This window comes from Homo sapiens, chromosome 15 (genome assembly GCF_000001405.40).
Source record: "Homo sapiens chromosome 15, GRCh38.p14 Primary Assembly".
NCBI lineage: Eukaryota > Metazoa > Chordata > Mammalia > Primates > Hominidae > Homo > Homo sapiens.
The window spans coordinates 90989666-90998415 of NC_000015.10; the positions used below are offsets into that span (position 1 = coordinate 90989666).

General features: G+C 45.9%; 1 protein-coding gene and 1 long non-coding RNA gene across 34 annotated transcripts in view, besides 3 other annotated features; one reads left to right on the forward strand and one right to left on the reverse strand.

Moving 5' to 3' along the window:
- The window catches only part of PRC1 (protein regulator of cytokinesis 1), a 28496-nt gene extending 23626 nt beyond the window's left edge, over positions 1-4870 (reverse strand). For all 33 annotated transcript variants that reach the window (XM_017022714.3, NM_001267580.2, XM_047433314.1 and 30 more), the window contains exon 1: positions 4742-4870. Coding sequence is in view for 32 of the 33 variants with exons in the window: in NM_001267580.2 (NP_001254509.2) it covers positions 4742-4752 (11 nt within the window). In the remaining variant the exon portion in view is untranslated. The remainder of the gene's footprint in view (positions 1-4741) is intronic.
- Positions 4176-5043: an enhancer, noted in NCBI's record as "NANOG-H3K27ac-H3K4me1 hESC enhancer chr15:91537071-91537938 (GRCh37/hg19 assembly coordinates)". NCBI's record gives its function as "activates a minimal SCP1, AML or CMV promoter by ChIP-STARR-seq in naive H9 embryonic stem cells {active_cell/tissue: H9 hESC(naive)}" and the evidence as "EXISTENCE:reporter gene assay evidence [ECO:0000049][PMID:30033119]".
- Positions 4407-4626: a silencer, noted in NCBI's record as "silent region_6837". NCBI's record gives its function as "represses an Ori minimal core promoter by ATAC-STARR-seq in GM12878 lymphoblastoid cells {active_cell/tissue: GM12878}" and the evidence as "EXISTENCE:reporter gene assay evidence [ECO:0000049][PMID:35858748]".
- Positions 5044-5910: an enhancer, noted in NCBI's record as "NANOG-H3K27ac-H3K4me1 hESC enhancer chr15:91537939-91538805 (GRCh37/hg19 assembly coordinates)". NCBI's record gives its function as "activates a minimal SCP1, AML or CMV promoter by ChIP-STARR-seq in naive H9 embryonic stem cells {active_cell/tissue: H9 hESC(naive)}" and the evidence as "EXISTENCE:reporter gene assay evidence [ECO:0000049][PMID:30033119]".
- On the forward strand, positions 5114-7960 carry LOC124903556 (uncharacterized). The gene is made up of 2 exons (XR_007064759.1): positions 5114-5270; positions 7678-7960. It is a non-coding gene; the product is annotated as an uncharacterized LOC124903556 (long non-coding RNA).

Genomic DNA, 8750 nt, shown 5'->3' on the forward strand with positions numbered 1-8750 from the left:
GCCAAAAAGTGAAAAAAAAAATACAAATGGCCATCAACTTATGAATGGGTAAATAAAATGTAGTATATAGGCATACAATGGAATATTATTTGGCAATAAACCTTGAAAACATTATGTTAAGTCAAAGAAGCAAGTCACAAAAGACCAGAGCTACGGTTCCGTTTTTATGAAATATCCAGAATAGGTAAAAAGTAGATTTGGGGTTTGTATGGTTTTTTGAGACAGGGTCTCCCTCTTTCACCTAGGCTGGAGTGCAGTAACATGATCATGGCTCACTGCAGCCCCAACTTCCTAGGCTCAGGTGATCCTCCCACCTGAGCCTCCGGAGTAGCTGGGACTACAGATGTGAGCCACCACACCCAGCTAACTTAAACAATAAAATTTTTTTTTAGGCCGGGTGCGGTGGATCACTCCTGTAATCCCAGCACTTTGGGTGCCAAGACCGGCGGATCACGAGGTCAGGAGTTTGAGACCAGCCTGGCCAATATGGTGAAACCCCGTCTCTACTAAAAATACAAAAATTAGCTGGGTGTGGTGGTGGGCACCTGTAATCTCAGCTACTCGGGAGGCTGAGGCAGGAGAATTGCTTGAATCCGGGAGGTGGAGGTTGCAGTGACCTGAGATCACGTCACTGCACTCCAGCCTGGGTGACAGAGTGAGACTCCATCTCAAAAAATAAAATAAAATAAAATAAAAAATAAAATAAATAAATAAATAAATAAATAATTTTTTTTTTTTTTTTAAGAGGTAGAGTCTCTCTATGTTGCCCAAGCTGTTCTTGAACTCCTGGGCTCAAGTAGTCCTCCCACCTTGGGCTCCCAAAGTGCTGGAATTATAGGTGTGCGCCACCTTGCCTAGCCGAAAAGTAGATTTGTAGTTGCGGCTGGGGAGAATTTGGACCATGGGGTGAAAGGGGATTGACTGCTAATGGGATTTTAAAGGGGTGATAAAAATGTTCTAAAATTGATTGCAGTGATGATTGCACAACTCTGAATATTCTAAAAATCACTGAATTATAATATACAATTTAAGTACATTGTATGGTATGTGGATTATACCTCAAAGCTGTTATTAAAAACATCTTGGCACATAATCTAAAACATTTTTGGTTTCTTTTTTTTTTCTTTTTTTGAGACAGAGTCTCAGTCTGGCACCCAGGCCGGAGTGCAATGGTGTGATCTCAGCTCACTGCAACCTCTGCCTTCTGGGATCAAGCGATTCTCCTGCCTCAGCCTCCTGAGTAGCTGGGACTACAGGCACACGGCACCACGCCCGGCTAATTTTTGTATTTTTAGTAGAGACGGGGTTTCACCATGTTGGTCAGGCTGGTCTCAAACTCCTGACCTCGTGATCCGACCGCCTCGGCCTCCCAAAGTGCTGGGATTACAGGCGTGAGCCACTGTGCCCGGCCCATAATCTGAAATGTTTTTGATTTGTGACTTAATTGAAAAACTTACAGATTTTTACTATGGCCGGGCGCGGTGGCTCGTGTGCAATCCCAGCACTTTGGGAGGCCAAGGCGGGCGGATCACCTGAGATCAGGAGCTCGAGACCAGCCTGGCCAACATGGTGAAACCCCATCTCTACTAGAAATACAAAAATTAGCTGGGCGTGGTAGTGGGTGCCTGTAATCCCAGATACTCAGGAGGCTGAGGCAGGAGAATCACTTGAACCCGGTGAACCCAGGAGGCGGAGGTTGCAGTGAGCTGAGATCATGCCATTGCACTCCAGCCTGGGCAACAGAGCAAGACTGTCTCCAAAAAAAAAAAGAAATAAAAATTTTACTAATATATAACGTATTTTATTTGGCCTGTTGGAAATGGGTGTTTGGAATTACCAAACACCCATTATTATTATTCTAGTTAGAGACACTTCCTGTAAGAGGATCATTTTCAAATTAAAAACTAACATTTCTCACTCTTCCTAACATTCAAATTGTACTGAACTTAATTTTTTTTTTAAACTTAAATCTTGTATCATCCTTGACACTTCTTTCTTATATGCCCGCCATTAGCATTATCTACACAAGACAGGCAGAATCTCACTCCTCCTGACCTCTGCTGCTACCACTACCACCCCCACCCTGGTCCAGGTCACCACCACCAACTTCTTGCTGTATGGCAGGGGCCTCTTAACTGGTCTCCCGGCTTCGAAGCTGGCCTCCTTAAGTCCATTGTCAACACAGGAGCCCCAAGTCCTAATCTTCTACTCAGAACCCTCCAACGACTTGCCATCTCACTCTAAGGAAAAGCCTCTGACTTTCCAAAGACCTATGGAGCCCCATTCCATCTGAAAGCCATTTCTTTTGACCTCAGTGCTCATTCTATTCCTGTCACAGCGACCTCCTTGCTCTTTCTGGAACATACCAGGCGCTATCTCCCCTTAGGGCACTTGGATTTGCTGATTCCTCTACCTAGATCTCTTTTCCCCCATGCTGCATGGCTTCACCCTTTTCCTTCTTAGGTCTTTGCTCAGAGATCACCTTCTCAGGGAGGCCTTTCCTGACCCATCTCTTTAAAACCACAACCCCCCTTCCTACACCTTCAGTACTTCTTAACCTCTTGATTTCTCTACATAGCACTTACCACCATTTAAGACTAACTTATTTATTACACTCCTCTTTTGCTATTAGAATATAAACTCTGTGAGGGCAGGGATGTCACTTTTGCTCACTGCTATATCCCCAACACTTGCAATGGTTCCTTGTATATAACAAACATTCAAGAAGTATTTTTCTTTTCTTTTTTAGTATAAATTATTATTTTTTAAATAGAGACAGGGTCTTGCTATGTTGCCCAGGCTGGTCTTGAACTCCTGGGCTCAAGTCATCCTCCCACCTTGGCCTCCCAAAGTGCTGGGATTACAGGTGTGAGCCACTGTGCCAGGCCCAAGAAGTCTTTTTGAATGAATAACGTGACATTTCAAAAAAGTTGTATGATCTTAAGATGCTTCAGAGCAATCATTATGAACAATTATCATGATACACTTAAATACTCCCTGGCTAAATTGTTTCAGATAATCCCCTAAAAGCAGCAAGTCTGAGTTTTTTTTTTAGATTCACTGAAAAAAATCAAGAGTGCATACAAAGACTACCACTCAAGGACAAAAAGGTTGTAAAATGAGTCAGTTTTTCCAGTCTTGAACATAAATCACTGGACTGGAAGGTATCTCACAGTGGTCCTTAAATTATTTTCTACCTTCAGGCAGCCTTCACTGATCCACTGCCCTATTTTTTCTTAGCATTCCAGAGAAGGAGCTTTGTTGATCTCCAGTTCAACCTGTTTCGGGGATCGATAACCATAATTAATTCTGGCCAGAGTTTCGTTTGAGCCTCAGAGGTCAAAGCTGCAGTGAGCAATCTCGCCACTACACTCCAGCCTGGGCGACAGAGTGAGACCCCGTCTCAAAAAAAAAAAAAAAAAAAAAAAAAAAAAAGTTAATTATATCCATTAGCCTGGAACCAACATTAAAGGGTAAGTTTTCTCCTGCTTCATTCAATCCCTTGATAGAGGAGATGCCTACATAATTCATAAACTGTTAATGGACTTTTTTTTTTTTTTTTGAGACGTAGTCTCACTCTGTCGCCTAGGCTGGAGTGCAGTGTCGAGATGTCGGCTCATGCAACCTCTGCCTCCTAGGCTGAAGCGATTCTCCTGCCTCAGCCTCCTGAAAAGCTGGGGGTACAGGCGCGCCACCAGGGCCAGATAATTTTTGTATTTTTAGTTAAGACAAGGTTTTACCATGTTGGCACTCAATTCTCATTATTCTGAGGGCAAGCATTTTAAAAAGACTGATCAGAATTAGTGATCATGAAATGAAGAATCTTACAAAGCCTTAGAACAATCAGTTCCACCAAAAACTACACATTATTTAACGCTGTATCATCAGAAAACTGCATCCACAACTTTTAGAAAATAAAGTTAATATTTGGAAGTCACAAGGTTGGTAAGTGGCAGTGTCACCGTCTGGTCCCGATTTCAAGTCGGACAGTCCCTCCCCAACACCGCCTAGGAAGTTATTAAAACGACCGGAAAAGAATTCCATAATCCGTTTCTTAACTTGCAAAGAAACAAAGCTATCTTTCCAATTCAAACAAAACGTTAACACCGCTGGCCAGATATAAAGAAAAACAACGGGCCGGGCACGGTGGCTCACGCCTGTAATCCCAACACTTTGGGAGGCCGAGGTGGCAGGATTACTTGAAGCCAGGAGTTCGAGACCAGCCTGGCCAACATAGACCGCGTTTCCACAAAAATAAAAAAAAAGAATAAAACAAAGAAAAACAACGATAAATAAACTTAACAGCTTTAAAGAAAAGCCACGACCACAGAAGGTTTACAACGAGTCATCTGCGCCAAGCAGCGGCACCTGAGACGCTGCGGGCGGGGAGGGTGGGGTCCGAGCGCCAGCGCTGACCGCCTGGGTGGAGGCCGCCCCGGGCCCCGGGCCTCGACTACCCTGCCGCGTCCGGGCACCGGCGCTCGGCTCCCACCCGGGCGTCTGAGCCTGCGGGCACCTGCGGCCGCCGGCGGACAGCGCGTCAGGTCTCACCGCCGCGGCCCTCGCACTGGCTCGCCGCCTCCAGACCCTGCCCCTCAGCGCCCCCGGCCTCCCTCGGCGCCGACTGCCGTGACGATCTAGGCCCGGGACCCCGCACGGGTCCCGCACCCCTGAACAGGCCCCGCAGCCGAAACGAGCGTCGCTCCCTCCCGCGTCCCCTCGATTTCCCCGCAACCCGCACCTTCTCCTCATGGCGGACGCTCCAAGCAGCCGTGAGTCCAGGTCCAGACCTACTCCACACGGCCCCGAGAGCAACAACCACCCGCAAACACCGGCGATGTCACTCCGCGTAGCCGCTCCGCGAGCCGTTGAGCCCCGCAAAATTTCAAACCGCGCCACGGGGCGAAGCCTCGTCGCGATTGGCGTCGCGTCCCGTCGCTCCAAGAAAATCCCCGCCCCTCGGGCTGAAGTCGCGGGTGCGCAATCGGGGTGGGGACTCGCGAGCAGGGCCTGGGAAGCGCCGGAGTGGCGGCGGGGGATGACGTCACTGTCTGTGAGTGGCCGGGCGTGGCCTGCGCCTCCCGCTTCCCTGGCTTGGCGGCAGCCTCAAGGGACTCCTCTCCCAAGCCAGCTACCTCATCGGAGCGCCGCCCCGCCTCGCCCCGCGCAGTTTGGATTCGAAGTGCGCGGGCGGGGAGGGAGTTGAGAGCACCGCGGCTACCTGGCTTCCCTGAGTCCCGGCTGCCGGGAACGGGCGCGGGGGTGAATAGGTAAGTTAGCGCCTAGTTTCCCTCGCTCATCCAAGAAGCGAAGCTTGGAATCGATCTTTGGTGGGACTCTTCCCCAGATGTAAGAAGCCATACACTAAAGGGGAAGGGAAGGAACATTGAGTCCTGCTCATGGGCCTGGAACGTTTCAACGCCAGTTATCCCATTTAACCTCCACAATCGCCATTGCAGAGGAAACGCAAAAAGATTTGAATGATTTGCCTAAGTCACGTTATCAAATTAGATGAGTTTCTAAATCGTTACATGAAAAATTTAAAACTCAAAATAGACATTACTTTTGTAGCCTCCTTTCCTCGATGAACATGTTACATCCCTAAATGCTTATATATCACCGTTTTTTCCCAGTGATTCATGGTGGCATGGTGGCATGAATCCTGGTGTGTAGATATCTCGCCCATTCTGCTATTGATATTTAGATGATAATTTAAAAGATAAGGCTGGGCTGAATATCTTCATACATAAATCTTTGTGTATGTATGTATTTATAAATGCATCCTGCATTTTCGTACGGCTGATTCCTAGAGGTGTAATTACTGAATGCTCCCTTTATTAATTTGCCTTCTGCACAAAGCCTCACCGGAAAAGTACCCTCCTTTTGTTACCCTCAGCAGGGCTGAATTCTATTGTACTTCTAAACATCTTTGCTCATTTTGTAGGTAAAATAATAATACTGGCATTTCCTTGTTTGGCACTTGATTATAATTGAAATTGCACATTTTTCGTGTTTATTGGCCAACTGTAACTTAAGTGAATCCTCTTCATATGCCTTTTCCCTAAAGGTAAAGGATGCTTGTTTGCTTCACCTTCAGAACCATATTTTTCTTATTTTCAGAAAAACTTCATTAGTGCTTTCAATGTTCTTTTTACTTTTTTTAATTGAGACGGAGTCTCGCTCTGTCACCCAGGCTGTAGTGCAGTGGCCCAATCTCAGCTCACTGCAACCTCCGCTACCTGGGTTCAAGCAATTCTTGTGCCTCAGCTTCCCGAGTAGCTGGGACTACAGGCACGCACCACCATGCCTGGATACTTTTTTTTTTTGTATTTTTAATAGAGACGGGGTTTTGCCATGTTGGCCAGGCTGGTCTTGAACTCCTGACCTCAGGTGATCCGCCTGCCTCGGCCTCCCAAAGTGTTGGGATTACAGGCGTGAGCCAACGCGCCCGGCTTCCATGTTCTTTTTAACTTGTCAGCAGCATGCCAAACATTCACAGCACCAACACAGTGGGCGACAGGCACCACTTTTTCAATTTCCTTGCACTCTGTGATTAACATTGACACCACTAATAGAGTAGATGGTAGCACTACTTTTAAAATTTACTTGCATTCTTTGTTGATTAAATTAACAGGAGAGCTTTTCAGAAAGCTTCACAAATTTGTGATCTTCATACTTGTTCTTAGCACCAGCATTATGAAGTATCCAAAGAAAAGGCAATTTTTTCTCTCTTGTCCTTTACACTGAGGTGCTGAGGCTAACAAAGTCATAGAACTGATGCAAAGATATCCATTCAGAGCATAAACGCAGCATGTAAAACACTGTGTAATACGCGTTTATAATATATGACCTTAGCCTGGGCACTGTGGCAAAACCCTGTCTCTATAAAAAATACAAAAATTAGCCAGGTGTGGTGGTATGAGCCTGTAGTTCCAGCTACTTGGGAGGCTGAGGTGGGAGGATCACTTGAGCCCAGGAGGTCAAGGCTGCAGTGAGGCATGGTCACGCCACTGCACTCCAGCCTAGACGACAAAGCAAGACCCTTTCTCAAAAAAAAAAAAAAAAAAAAAAAAAAATCCTATTACAGGGTCATATATTTCTACTGGATGGAAGTGCAATGTTTTGCCACTGTTTAATCTTTTTCTGATGCCACCTATTCTTTCTGTGAATTAACAGCCCTGTTGGCAGTGTCTTTGGTCTTGCACACTAGCTTGACATAACACTCAAAATTCTAGCTAGATGCTTGAGGAATGCCTTTTCCTTGGAATATATTCTTATACAGAATTATCATTATTCTTATTTATTTATTTATTTTTTGAGACAGAGTCTTGCTCTGTTGCCCAGGCTGGAGTCCAGTGGCATGATCTCGGTTCACTGCAGCCTCTGCCTCCTGGGTTCAAGCGATTCTCCCACCTCAGCCTCATGAGTAGCTGGGACTACAGGTGCGCGCCTCCACAGCTGGCTAATTTTTATATTTTAGTAGAGACAGAGTTTCACCATGCTGGCCAAGCTGGTCTCAAACTCCTGACCTCAAGTGATTTGCCTGCCTCGGCCTCCCAAAGTGCTAGGATTACAGGTGTGAGCCACCGTGCGGGGCCCAGAATGATCATTATTCTATAGGAAGAATACTTTTGATGATCCAGTAACTCAGGTTTTGATTTTCTTTCTTCCTTTTAGTAAGTGGCAGCACTGTGGAATGGGGAACAGATGGAAGAATGAGCAGCTGGGAGGCACACTCTTGCAAAAACCCAGGCAAGAGACAATAAAGACCTCTGTCGTAGGGATGGTGAGGAGAAGATGAACTAGAGACATTTAGAAATAAGAACCAATAGCACAAGGGAACCAGCTGAAGGTGGGGCATAGAAAGAAAAAATCTGAGGTCAAGAATACAATTTTTTGCTCATTTGAACAAAGTTTGGGAATACAGGAAGAAGAGCAGATTAAAGGATTCAAGTAGGGACAGGAGCTTCCACTCATGAGTTTATTTTGTACATGCTGAGTTTGAAGTGCCTGTGGAATGACCAGGTAGGAAATACTTGTGTGGCGCTAAGGAGTGAGATGAAGGCTTGAGATCTGGAAGTGGATGACAACAAAGGACAGAGAGAGGGGAGATGTCAGCAAATGGGATGAGCAGAGAGGAGTAATCAAAGAACAACCTAAGAGACTGTGGGAGGACAAAGAAAGGGTATTATGGAAGCTGAATAAGACAATTTCAAGGAAAGCATAGTCATCAGTGAGATCAAGTTGGAAGAGGCCTGAAAAGAGGCCACTAATATAGGTGGTTGTAATTCCTTCTTTTTTTTTTTTTTTTTGAGACAAGGTCACAGCTTACTGCAGCCTCGACCTCCTGGGCTCAAAGGATCCTCCCACCTCAGCCTCCCCAGTAGCTAGGAATACAGGTGTGTGCCACCACCCTCGGCTAATTTTTTTATTTTTTGTAGAGACGGGGTCTTCCCATGTTATCCAGGCTGGTCTCAAACTCCGGGGTTCAAGCGTTCCTCTTGCCTCGGCCTCCAAAAGTGCAGTGATTACAGGCATGAGCCACAGCACCTGGCCTATATTTCATCATTTTTAAAAGGTAAAGAGAGAGAGAAAGGCTACTAGCATCAGTAATGAGGAGGGTGCTGGCACATTTATAGGAGCACTGTTTGCTGATGCCTGAAATGGCTCTAATGGCACACAATCTTTCATTCTGCAATAAGAAACAAACGCTTAAAATTGAAGTGCCTCCTTAAATTAAAACAACAAAG